This window comes from Homo sapiens, chromosome 19 (assembly GCF_000001405.40).
Source record: "Homo sapiens chromosome 19, GRCh38.p14 Primary Assembly".
NCBI lineage: Eukaryota > Metazoa > Chordata > Mammalia > Primates > Hominidae > Homo > Homo sapiens.
In genome coordinates this window covers 30,689,499-30,702,226 of record NC_000019.10, presented here as the reverse complement: position 1 = coordinate 30,702,226, position 12,728 = coordinate 30,689,499, and the positions used below count along the sequence as shown (strand labels likewise).

Below are 12,728 nucleotides of genomic sequence, written 5' to 3'. Positions count from 1 at the left end.
AACGAAAGTGGGGAAACGAGATATTTTTCTTACTTGCTAGGATGGAAATATCTGCTCTTTCGCCGCACCTAAGGGGGAGTAGAAAATGCCTGCCCTTGGGAGGGCCATCCATTCATTACAGCACCACACTTGTGGGCAGCTGGCTTTGTGGAAGAGAGGGGGCTGCGTCTATGGGGCTTCCAGACTTTCCAAACTGATGGCTTCTCCTCAAGTGTGGGACAGAGGGTAAGAGAGTGGGGAGAGAAGAGGTGACCACCCTGTGGTGTTTAGTCCTGGAGTGGTGACAGTGCCCATTGGTGAACATGTTCTGGCACCCACTCATCAAAGTGCATCAGCATGAGTGGCCTCAGTTGGTCCTCATGACTGTCAGTAGGGAGATATGGCAGAGGGATGTCTTCCCACCTTACAGACATGAAATCCCCGATCCAGGGAGATTAAATGATCATCCAAAGTCACACGTATGGAACTTACTGCTTACTGATCAGGAATTCAACTTCATGTCTTCTCTAAAAGAATGCTCGTCTCTCCACCTGCTCCTGCCATGGACTGCAACCTGCTTGCTGGAAGAGTCTCTACAAAGAGGGGCCTCTGGTTAGGAGTCAAAGATGCTCCAAGAGGTGGTCCATGAACCCCCTGAAGGGGTGTGTACCATGTGTATGTGTGTGTGTTTGTGTGTGTGTTTGTGTGTCTGTGTGTTTGTGTGTCTGTGTGTTTGTGAGTTTTTGTGTCTGTGTGTGTGTTTGTGTGTGTCTGTGTGTGTTTGTGTGTTTGTGTTTCTGTGTGTTTGTGTCTGTGTGTGTGTTTGTGTGTTTTTGTGTCTGTGTGTGTTTGGGTGTGTCTGTGTGTTTGTGTTTGTGTATTTGTGTTTGTGTGTGTCTGTGTGTGTGTTGGTGTGTTTGTGTTTGTGTGTGTCTGTGTGTGTTTGTGTATGTGTGTTTGTGTTTGTATGCGTCTGTGTCTGTGTGTTTGTGTGTGTGTTTGTGTTTGTGTGTGTCTGTGTGTGTTTGCGTGTGTGTGTGTGTGTGTGTGTGTGTGAGAGTGAGATATAGCACATGCACCAGATGTCACTCCCCTTACAGGAACAGAAGCCCATCAAAGCTGGGCATTGAGCACGAGGAACATCATTTTCAGAGCATGGGATCACAAAATATCTCTACTGCAGAAGGGCGTCCTGCATCCACGTTTGACAGTGCCATTGCCTAGAAGGGAGCAGGTGATCAAGTGGAGAGAAGCAGCCTCCGCATCAGTTCCCACACACAGGGCTGTAAGGCTTGAGAACAGCCACTGCCCACTAGCACCCAGAGGGGCTCCCTATAACACACTTCTCCCAGAGCTGCACAACCAGCGCCGCCTGAACTCCTTGAAATTAGGAACATTTAGGCAATGCCTGCAGCTAGGTAAGAAACTATAGGTCTTCATCACTATAGGTCAGTTGGATACATTAAAAAGGTATCCCCCTATAGGTCAATTGGATACATTTGACCATTGGATACATTTGATACATTGACCTCTTATAGGTCAATAGGATACATTAAAAATTCAGGGCCACGGGAGGCTCAGGCCTGAAATTCCACAGCTTTAGGAGGCCAAGGCAGGAGGATTGCTGGAGGCCAAGAATTCAAGACCAGCCTGGACAATATAATAAGCCCTCATCCCTACAAAAATTTTAAAATGAGCCAGGTATGGTGGCACACATCTGTGATCCCAGCTACTTGGGAGCCTGAGGCAGGAGGGTCACTTGAGCCCAAGAGTTGGAGATTGCAGTGAGTGGTTGGAGTGCCAGTGCACTGCAGCCTGGGCAACAGAGCAAGACTCTGAAAAAGAGAAGGAAGAAAGGAAGGAAGGAAAGTAAGAAAGGAGGAAGGAAGGAAGGAAGGAGGGGGGAGGGAGGGAGGAAGGAGGGATAGAGAAAGAAAGAGGGAGAGGGAAGGAGGGAGGGAGAGAAAGAAAGACACAAAGAGAAAGAAAGAAAGAGAGAGAGAGAGAGAAAGAAAGAAAGAAAGAAAGAAAGAAGGAAAGAAAGAAGGAAAGAAAGAAGGAAAGAAAAGAAAGAAGGAAAGAAAAGAAAGAAGGAAAGAAGGGAAGGAAGGGAAAGAAAGAGACAGGGAGGGAGGGAGGAAGAAAGGAAGGAAAGAGAAAGAAAGAGGGAGAGAGAAGGAGGGAGGCGGAGGGAGGGAGAGAAAGAAAGAAAGGAATAAAGAAAGAAAGTAAGAAAGAAAGAAAGAGAAAAAAGAGAGAAAGAGAAAGAAGAGAGAAAGGAAAGGAGGAAAAAGAAATTCAGCTCCCCAGAGTGGGCCCCGCCGGCCTGGGGGGAATCCACTGGGTATGGTGGTACAACAGGTTCATGAGTGGGTCAGGCCTGCAGGGTGCTTGGCTGGTCTTCACTTGGGGACCTTGAAGCCCCTCACCATCACCTGCTGCTTCCTTTGAATATTTACCACTTTGACCCTGAGGCTGCAAAATGGGAGGATGCCAGCCCAGGACCCTGGCAATCCTGCCTTCAGCTTCAAGAGGCTCAGTGGCTCAGCAGGGCAATGAGAGAGGTAAAAATATACATAAAGAATCACTAGGCCCACAGAGAGAGCCGTTTTCTCAGTTGCACATATAGTTTAAAAAAATTTCCTAATTCCAAATAGGCGAGAATGATTCCAATCAGGTACGTAATTTATGTTTTCAGTTTTAAAAAAATATTCATCCATCTCATCAAAGATGCTAAAACACTTTGGAATATCCTTAGTACAAATAAATTTAGGTTTCAAATTTCCTGTGATTTGGGTTTTAATTTAGAAGGCTACCCAAAAAAAAATGTACTTATTTTACAAGTGCATTTTGATCTGTGTGGTAATGGATTGAAGACATCTGTGTGAACTCAAGCTTAACTTCATATTTATAATATAGATGTGTGTATATACAGGAGTTAGTACACAAGCATATATTTCCTTATTCTGTCAGCTGAGAGGGTCTAGAAGTGGTGACATTGGTTTCTAATACCACTCCCAAAAAAAGGGAACCAGGGCTCCTTGGAGAAATGGCTGATTCTAGGACTGGGATAGGAAATACACCAAAATAATCCCGGGGTATTTAGTGCTAGAAAGTAAGAAAGTACTAAAAAAAAACCCCCACATATTGATGGTGGAGTGGGGGTGTCAGATTAGCACAGAGCTTGCTGAAGAAGCCCCCATACCCAAAGGTAGAACCATTTGAGTAACAAAGTAAACAACATAATATCAGATTATGACCCAGAGTCTAAAATAAATATCCACAAATCATACTGGCATAAATGATTGCATCAATAAATACAGGGGGAAGGATTGACAAATGCCTTGTGCATTCCAAATAATTTTGTAGCTATTTCTTGCTCAAGGAGACGGAGCATATCTCCCTACTCCTTAAGAGTGGACTGTGCCAAGTGACTTCCTTCCAAAGAGTACAGTATGGAAAGGGACGGGAGAGTAACTTCCGTGGAGAAACCAGACAAACATGACCTCAGCCAGCAGACCAAGGTCAGGCTGACAGCAGGTGCCCTTGACTTGATATGATGAGAATGGTAATTTACCTTTGTGGTCTTCCTTCCCTAAATCCATAACCCCAGTCTACACATGAGAAATTGCAACTGAGGGACGTTCTGCAAAATACTCCTGGAAACTGTCAAGGTCATCAGAAACAAGAAAAGTGAGAAACTGTTGCAGCCAGGAAGGTGGAAGGAGACAGGACACCTAAGGTAATATGGTATCCTGGAGCAGAACAGGACATCGGATAAAAACTAAAACACTAAGAATACAAGATGGACTTTATTTAAAAATAATGTGTCAATATTGCTTCGTGAATTGTGACAAACATACCCTACCAATGTAAGATGTTAATAATAGTGGGAAATGGCGGTGAAATCTATGAGAGTTCTCTGTATTATCTATGCAAACTTTTTTTTTTTTTTTGAGACTGAGTCTTGCTCTGTCACCCAGGCTGGAGTACAGTGGCGCAGTCTCAGTTCACTGCAGCGTCCACCTCCCAGGTTCAAGTGATTCTCCAGACTCAGCATCCTGCGTAGCTGGGACTACAGGCGTGCACCAATGGGTCCAGCTAATTTTTGTATTTTTAGTAGAGACTGGGTTTCACCATGTTGGCCAGGCTGGTCTTGAACAGTTGACCTCAGGTGATCCGCCTGCCATGGCCTCCCACAGTGCTGGGATTACAGGCGTGAAGCACCACATCCCACGTCTATGAAACATTTTTATAAATCTAAATCCATACTAAAATTAAAAGTTTATTTTGAAAGTTTATTTAAAAGTGGATTTGATTGATTTTCTGTGAACAGGAAGAAACCAACACCCCACATCAAGAGATGCTTCCAAAGTCACAGAACCAAACAGGTAATACTTAACTTCTGTTGACACGAAAACTTCTGGAGGGCATATGGCACACACACAGTCTGCTGGGCCTGCAACCCAAGGATCAGGGAAGGCAGCAGAGCAGATTTTGAGAAATCGCCACTGCCCTGCTAGCATGCAGCATTTTTCATTATTCAAGCACAGTGATGAAGACTGTAGATTTTCAAGCCAGACACCAAGGCTCTAACGTATCTGCCTCTTATCGGTTGTGTGTGCTCTTGAACCAGCTAGTTAACCTTTCTAAGTCTCAGTTTTCTCATCGGTAAAATGGGTGCAATAATAATAATAGCTCCCTAATAGGATTGCTGTGAGGATTCAATGAGATGAGGCCTGATGCTTAAGCACAAAGTGCAGCACATAGAGTTAAATGAATGTCTGCTAGAAAAGGCTGTAAGTATTAAAATACTCCACCTACTACGTGCCCATTGCATGGTAACCTTGAACTTCAAATGGGAGATGTGCATTTTGATTCCTCTGCCAATGCTGAAATCAGGGGTTGGGCTCCCATTTGTTGGATGATATGGTTTGGCTCTGTGTCCCCATCCAAATCTCAACTTGAATTGCGATCCCTAGGTGTTGAGGCAGGGACCTGGTGGGAGGTGATTGGATCATGGGGACCATTTCCCCCATGCTGTTCTCTTGATAGTGAGGGAGTTCTCATGAGTGCTGATGGTTTTAAAAGTGTTTGGCAGTTCCCACTTGCTCTCTCTCTCACCTGCCCCCATGCCTGGCTTCCCCTTTACCTTACGCCATGACTGTAAGTTTCCTGAGGCCTCCTCAGCCATGCAGAACTATGAGTCAATTAGACCTCTTTTGTTTATAAATTACCCTGTCTCTGATCATATCTTTGTAGCAGTGTGAGAATGGACTAGCACAGCATCTGTCCAGAGCCACAAAGCCAGAGAGAGGCAGAACATGGTCCTGCAGCTGGAGCTCAACCTGCACTGTGTCTTGCTGTCTCCCTGCAGCTTGAGGCCCAAGTTGAGTTAGGATAAGAGCTTAGATGTCGCCAGATTTCAGCAGGGCATCAGCAGAGAGGAGCCTCTGGCTGGTGGTGCAGAGTCTCCCATGCCTCCCAGCTCAGCCCCACCAGGTGTTGGCTTCAGGGCTACTCTTCCTGGGGCCTGGCCTCTAGGTGGCTCCCTTCCCCAGCAACTTCATCCCCCGCCATTGCGCATGCCCTACAGATTTTGCCTTATATCCTGTTTATTTGCTTACCCAGGCTCCTCTGATGAGTGGAGCCATCAGCCCGCCTGGGTGGTCAGGCAAGCCGGCCTGCCCTGCCAGTGTGCACTCAACAGCAACTATTGATCGGGGACCTTAAATCATTGCCCGGATTTTATGAAAGCATTTATGTTTATCATTAAATAACCTTCAAAGGGTCAATGAACTTACATTCCGTTTTTGAAGATTTTTCGATGTGTAATATAATAATACTCTAATGATACCCAGAGTTTGTCTCTGGGTGAGTGCATTTAGTCTTTAAAGAAATGCCGGGAGAAACCAAAGAGAAGGCGCTGGCCTGGAAGTGCTGGAGTGGGGGAGCCGGGAGCGGAGGGGCTGGTGGCCCACCTCACTCCTCCAGAAATTCCCTTCTCTCTCCAACATTGCGGGGGCTGGGGGAGAGGTGCTTATTAAACCGGCTTCAAAGGTAATTTTAAATGGAACCAAGCTGACCACTTTTCAGGTTAACAGCTTTAGCAAAAATCCCAAAAACTAGTGAATCAGAGTTGGATATTATTCCTAAAACAAAGCTAGAGTTGTGTATTTTTAAGTTTTTAACCAATTAATTTTTAAATATTAAGTGAAATTATTAGGGTGACACTCAGAGATGGCAAAAATAAGGAGTCTAAAATTAGCAGACGCAGCACCTATGATACACATTTAATATCCCTCGCTTCCCTCCTTAGGAACATTGGGCTAAACACAGTTATCTGAAATCCCTGTTGGCAATAAGATGGGCTGTAAGGATGCACGGAATTTAGCAGAGATGGTGACAGCCAGCCCTGTCCCTGTAAACCCTCTTCTGGGTACCATCAAGTCCACTGGGTCAATAGTCCACCTCAGACCAACAGTGAGACCTCTCCAGGCAGAAGAAAGCCACACCATCCATACCAAGTCAAGTCCCCAAATCCTGGCTATACATGTGCCCACCCCTCCTCTATAGCCATCCATGGCTCCCTATTTCTCACTGCAGTATCTCACCTCCTTAACCTGGCTTTCCAAATTGCAATCCCTTCTTACCTACTATACACTGTCGTTCCTACCAGAAATTCACCCATCTCCAGCCCCCACATCTTCTTCCATTGAGACCCGCCAAAGCCCCAACTCCTCCTAGAAGCGGTTCTCAGGACCCAGTCTGCAGAGCTCCACTTATCTGTGGCACCACACAATTAGGCACTTAATTATGTTCTGTCAGGCACTGTTCGCTAATGGCTCTAGGAGGCTGGAAACTGCTGCCCTCTGGCGGGCTCTGCACACAGTAGGGACTGGATAAGGAACCAGACGTTGTTTACTGAAGGACCTCTTTCTGGGGGTTCAGCCCACAGGAGTCCCCACCTTGCTATGCACACCCTGCTCAGAGCCTGGCACTTGGCTTCCTTCCTCCGTGCAGGCCACACCTCCTAACAGGTGACCCTGGAGCACCCTCCCCTGCACACTGTCCCTACCTGGTCTGTGCCTCATACCTGGAATGCCCCACCATGCCTTGCTGTTTTCCTCAGCAGGAAAATCTGAGTGCTCTGTGTTCCAGGGGGTCCCTTTAGTAACCCCAATCTCAGCTATTAATACTACGCTCTTCCTCCCATTCTCCACGTTGGTGGAGAGTGTTGAACGGCTTCTCAGGTGCACCTTGACATACTGGGTAGCTCTGCATTTTCCTCTTTCCTGCATTGAAGCTCAGAATCCCAATCACATCTCCAAGAACCACGCCCTGCCCTCCTCACTCTTGCCCTCCACCTTACCACTTTCTGTGGGGGACTGGGATGGCACGGCCCACCCTGACTGTGAGCTCCAAAAGCCCACAGGCCTCCCCCATGGGGGCCAAGTGGCTGCACCATAGATTCCATCACTGCTGTAGACATAAATGCATTCACCCTCCTAGTGGTTACAAGCTGCAGGCCCACATATTTTTTTCCCCCAACACTATTTCTTTAAAAAAAAATGTAATTCATTGCCAATGTTACATTTAAAAAAATATTTCACATTAAAACATGGATTTCCAGTTTCTCTTGCAAAGTCAGGAGGTCTGGCAAGATCTTCCTGGAGGCAGCCGCTGGGGAGCTGGGTCCCACTTATTCCCGCTGCCTGGCACCCATTTACTTCCCAGGCATCACCAGCCAGGCGCCTGTGGGCCCTGGACTTTCCAATCTCCACTTTGTACCACTCTCAACTAAACAGCCAGTATTGCACTTTCTTTGAGGTTGGGGCAGGGAGACTGGGTGAGGCTTTGTGTGTTTTTTCACCCAGCAGATGAACTGCATTCTTGTACACACCCAGTGAAATAAACAAGTGGGTGGTCCCTGCTGGTTCAATCACTTCCTGTTTTCCATTGTGTCGCTTAAAATGAACACATCAGCCCTTAATTGTAGTTTCTGTTTTATTGTACAACTTAAATGTGGGAGGGGGGCCAATATTGGAACTTGGCTTGTGCCAAGGGTGTGCTGTGCTCTGTATGGCACCAGGAAAGCCACAAGGGGAGGGGCCAACCTATGAAACCACCAGCATGAAGCACCTTAAGTGTATCGATATCCAATCCACTGAAAGCTGGCATCCAAGGTTATCTGTGGATAATTCACTACCTGCACACATCTTTCATAAAAACATTAGTGCATTTCCTACAGTGGGTTGGGGGGGCCATATGGGTTGCAGAGCAGCTCACCAAAAACAGTGTCGCGGGAGCAGTCACATTCCATCAAAATTCAGTGAGGTTGTATTGTATTAATGTGAGTTTATGTGTGAGAAAGAATCGCACATCTCTCTTCCCATAAAGGAATCAGACACCCGCAATCCATACCCACAGTATATATCCATATAGATGGGCACACTGGATATATTTAAAATAGCTACTTTTTATCATGCCCAATTCAACAAATTGGTACTGTGAACAATAGAAAATTACAAAGTAAAAAGGAAAGATGGAAGCATAAACTTTTCAATGCTCAGCCCTCATCCTGGAGCGCCACTAATGTCACGTGGCAGACATAAATAAATAAAATAAAACACAGAAGAGAGGTGTCTTTCTTTTTTTTTTATGAAGTCACAAAGGAAATGAGCCTCCTTTCTTCTCTTCTCTCCCCCCACTATAAAAGGCTCTCTCTAAAATCAAAGGTGTCAGACTTTGCATATCCTCTTGCTGGCATAATCCAGAATATGGCTGAGGAATGACAGATGTCCGCACCCAGCTGCAATGAAGCATGTGAAAGTTTCCATCTAATCCACTTATTTCTCTGTAGTCACGTAAACCAAAACAAATGGGCAGGGCTTTACATCAGGGGGAGGGGGAAAAAAACCTCACAGCATCAGGACTGTATTGCATAATGCAGTCTACACGCCATCTTGGTATCATCCTTCCTTCAGCAGGGATAAGGGCACCTTGTGGTGTGATCCAGTGTGGACCCAAGAGGGTCAGCTCATGTATCCCTTTGTCCCATGCGAGATGAGGTTTCTCAAGGGAGAGAGAAGTTTAAAATGAGTGGGGGGTGTCCGAAGCACGGAGAGGCATAGGGACAAGCGACCATGTGCAAGCACACACTAGTAGCACCTCCACGCTGCACACGTATACACACACTCTCTCTCTCTCTCTCTCTCTCTCTCCCCCCCAGGTTTTGGAGCTGCTAAACTAAGATGATCAGCTTAATCACCAGGCACCATCGTTTTCAACTACTTGAATAAATCCAGAGGAATTATAAACGGAGCCCGTGTGTAATTAAAGTGAGGGTTGTTAGACTCTTCATTTAATAAAACACTTCAAAAGAAAAGCCCTTATAGGTTTAGCAATGCCACAGGGAGCAGAAGGGTAAGTAAGCGCTGTGGGCGTGCGAGGAGGCAGCTCTGCCTCTTCCTAGTGTGCAGCGTGGCCACCTTCTGAACCCTCTCCCCTTTAAATCTTGTAAGGAGCCAGCCAGGAGCCGGAGTCTTGGGGCTCTGTCACCGCCAGCAGTTGCAACAGCTGCGAAGCACTCTTTCAGCACAAGTCGCGAGAAAAGACGTGACGGATTTCGCCCATGGCAGAACGGCGTTCCGTTTCTGGCCCTTCAGGCAAAAACAGTAAAGGCAAAGAGGAAAATTTGAGATTTCCCCCCTTAAACTTCCCACAACAACCTCAGCAAAACCACATGACTTGCCTTCTACAATCTCCCTGGTGTGTTCGCTGCCTCTTTGGCAAAGAATCAGAATTACTGTTATATAAATTCCATCTGATGCCAGAGCGACCATCTGTGAGTAAAACTGCTTCACCTACGTCTGCCTGCAAAGCCACTCTCCCAGAGACAAGGGAGAAGGGGAAAAAAATTTGATTAATTTGCAGAATGCTTGTGATTTGCTCATATATTATTATAACTGCTCATCAGCACATGATGAATTCCCAGCCCTCGGTGCAGGCACCCGTTTGGTTTCAGCAGTTTCTTGCGTCGGCACCTGACAGACTGCAGGGTTTCTAATGACTTTCAGATGCTTACAAACAGTAATTCTATCTTCAGAATCAAAAAGAAAAATCCGTAGGAAGAAAAGAGGAGCAAGTTCGTCTATTTCATTTCCTTCCTGTATATCCACATGATTTAACTCTTAAGGGCAGCCTGGGATCCGAGAGGGGGCCTCCCAGGCCCGGCCATGACCGCCTGCAGAGACAAAGACCCCCGGTCTCTGGAGGGGAGGTGGAGGCCCGGGCAGAGGCTGCAGGCAGGGGTGATGCTAGGCATCACCACCCGGGTGCCCACCACTGCCACAGCGTGGCCCTTTCTCTCCCTCTGTGCTTCCGAATCCCTTTCATTTGTCCACTTTTAATACCCTAATAACCTCTCACGTTCTCTGCAAACACATCTGCCTCGTAACTGCAGTTGGATGTCTGGTTTCCCCCCTCCCCATTTTTTTTTCTTTGCTTTTAAAACTCTGATGATGCCTTCTGAAGCCCTGCCTCTGTGCTTGATTGCCTGTTTTAGATTAGAGATTTTAGCAAGGAGACAAAGACTTCACAATACACATCAGTCCCACATATGAGGGCCCACAGAAGGAAAAGCGATAAAACGCAATGCACCATCTGTCCACAAACAATAACCTGCATGTTGGGAGCCTCGCAAATTATTTAGCATACAACCTTCCCAAATTACAGAGCCTTGAAACGGAGCGGAGTCTGGGCGTGAGACCCCCTTTGATGTCCTTTTGGTATTCCCACCCCCTCACCCTCAGCCCCAATTTGATTAACAGTTGAGGAATGTCTCGGTGACAAGTTGATTTTTAGTATCCGGATCTTCCTGTTCCATCTGGCCTGGGATCCGAGCGGGGACGGGCTTGTCCCCTGGCCGCAGATCTCTGGAGACGACCGCCCTGATGCAAAGTCTGCCTCCTTTTTTCATGTGCATGTGGGGGGTGGGCCAGCGGAGGTGGTCTCCTGAGCAGACCTCACGGTTAATACAGAAAGATCCTGCTCAACTCTGCCGGCTCAGCCAGCTGGTCAGCGGTCTGATTTGCTTTTGAAAGATCTTGGAGATTTTGTTGGGAGGCCTCTGGTCTGTGCAAACAAATCTCCCTCCCCACCTCCAGCCCTTAACTCCTCTAGAAACATGTTCTTCTGCCTTTCCTAGCTCAGACCGTAAGCAGCAGCCTCACTGACCACCAGGCTATAAACTACTCACAATAGTTAGCCGGTATCTTCAGTCAAGCTGCAAAATTCCTTCTACAATGATTTGCTAAAATGAAAGAGAAAAAAAACCAAGCATTGCCAAAAGGAAAACAAAAATCATGTTGTTTGCAGGGGAGGAGTGGTTTTTATCAGATCCTCCTCACTTTGGTTTTAAGAATGGGACAGCTGATTATGTGCCATTCAGTCCTTACACAAATTGTAAGGTAAGTCCCAATTACTACGATCCTTCCATTTTACAGACGGGAAAACTGAGGTGCAAAGACAGTCATGTGCCTGGGTGACGCAGGAAATGGGGCAGCTGGGTATGAAACCAAGTGGTCTGGCTCCAAACCCCTCCTCTCTGAACCACCAGAGAACCCCAAGATCCTGCTTTAAGGATAAGATTTGAAGGGCAGCCATTTAGTGCCAGTGAATCCAGTGGAAAGCTGTTCGTGATGATTAATAAACAACAAACAAATATCTACTTTGCAAATAGAATCATTTCTTTCCTGAGTCTCAAAATAGACACATCTTTATACAGAGAGAAAGAGAGAGACTCGACCTGAATGTGAACTAAATGAGGCTTCCTTACCAAACTCATCGCCAGCATAATTATCCGGATTCAAATCCCTTTCAAATCGCTTCCTCTCTGGCATCCCCTCCCATCCTCAGAAGGCCCCATTTCTCCCCTTTCTCTACAACAGGACTTAGTTCTTCACTGGACCTTTGTTTTGCTAGAAGAGTCTTTTCACCCCAAATGTGGCCTCCTCTAGGATGGTGGACCAATATTACCGGCATTTGTTCCCCATTGATACCTAACAAAGCCGTGCGCCCAGTAAGTGGTTGATAAATAAATACCTACTGTTTGATGATTGGAGAGGCCTCAAGGATGTCCATTCCAGTTTTATGAATTTAAGCTTGTTTTCCAGACTTCCCTAACCTGAAGTCAATTAAGACAGTGTTTACACACACAGTTTGGCTGAATCAGGGGGCAGGGTGGTGGGAAAGAGGGTGCCTCACTGGCATTCAAACAACCAGATGTTTATTTTATTTTGTTAAAATCCATGATGCCAAATGAAAAGCCACGCTGAAATTTTCACTTTCTGGTATCTAGCAACAAAATCTAATTCTGTTTCTTGCAGCCTTCAGGAACAAGCCTGTGTACCTGTTTTTTTATTCTTCTCTTTATTTTCACCATTAATGCCACCATTGTCTTCTCTCACACATGCAGCAGACTTTATAATTCACTAGGAGCTTTTGCCCTCCCTGTTCCACGGGACACACGGGAACGCTGTCTCAGGAAGGCATTTGCCCCCAGATGGTCCTGGTCCCTGCTGGTCACTCCAAACATGACAAGTGCATCCATGTCTCTTCCCAAGGCCAGGGCCATGTACCTTTGAGAGGGAATCTCCTCATTTTGATAACATTTCCTGACAATCACATTGTCCCAGGAATAGCCACAACCCATCAGAAATCTTACCCAAATAAACGAGTTTTCTAAA

General features: G+C 46.3%; 1 protein-coding gene across 31 annotated transcripts in view, besides 3 other annotated features; it reads right to left on the bottom strand.

The window, feature by feature from the left end:
- ZNF536 (zinc finger protein 536) overlaps positions 1-12,728 on the bottom strand; it is a 487,995-nt gene that overhangs the window by 11,360 nt on the left and 463,907 nt on the right. The window lies entirely within an intron of this gene.
- Positions 798-998: a silencer, noted in NCBI's record as "peak3430 fragment used in MPRA reporter construct". NCBI's record gives its function as "represses an SCP1 promoter by STARR-seq MPRAs in K562 erythroleukemia cells {active_cell/tissue: K562}" and the evidence as "EXISTENCE:reporter gene assay evidence [ECO:0000049][PMID:32103011]".
- Positions 8,979-9,601: an enhancer, noted in NCBI's record as "H3K27ac-H3K4me1 hESC enhancer chr19:31183533-31184155 (GRCh37/hg19 assembly coordinates)". NCBI's record gives its function as "activates a minimal SCP1, AML or CMV promoter by ChIP-STARR-seq in naive H9 embryonic stem cells {active_cell/tissue: H9 hESC(naive)}" and the evidence as "EXISTENCE:reporter gene assay evidence [ECO:0000049][PMID:30033119]".
- Positions 9,602-10,226: an enhancer, noted in NCBI's record as "H3K27ac-H3K4me1 hESC enhancer chr19:31182908-31183532 (GRCh37/hg19 assembly coordinates)". NCBI's record gives its function as "activates a minimal SCP1, AML or CMV promoter by ChIP-STARR-seq in naive H9 embryonic stem cells {active_cell/tissue: H9 hESC(naive)}" and the evidence as "EXISTENCE:reporter gene assay evidence [ECO:0000049][PMID:30033119]".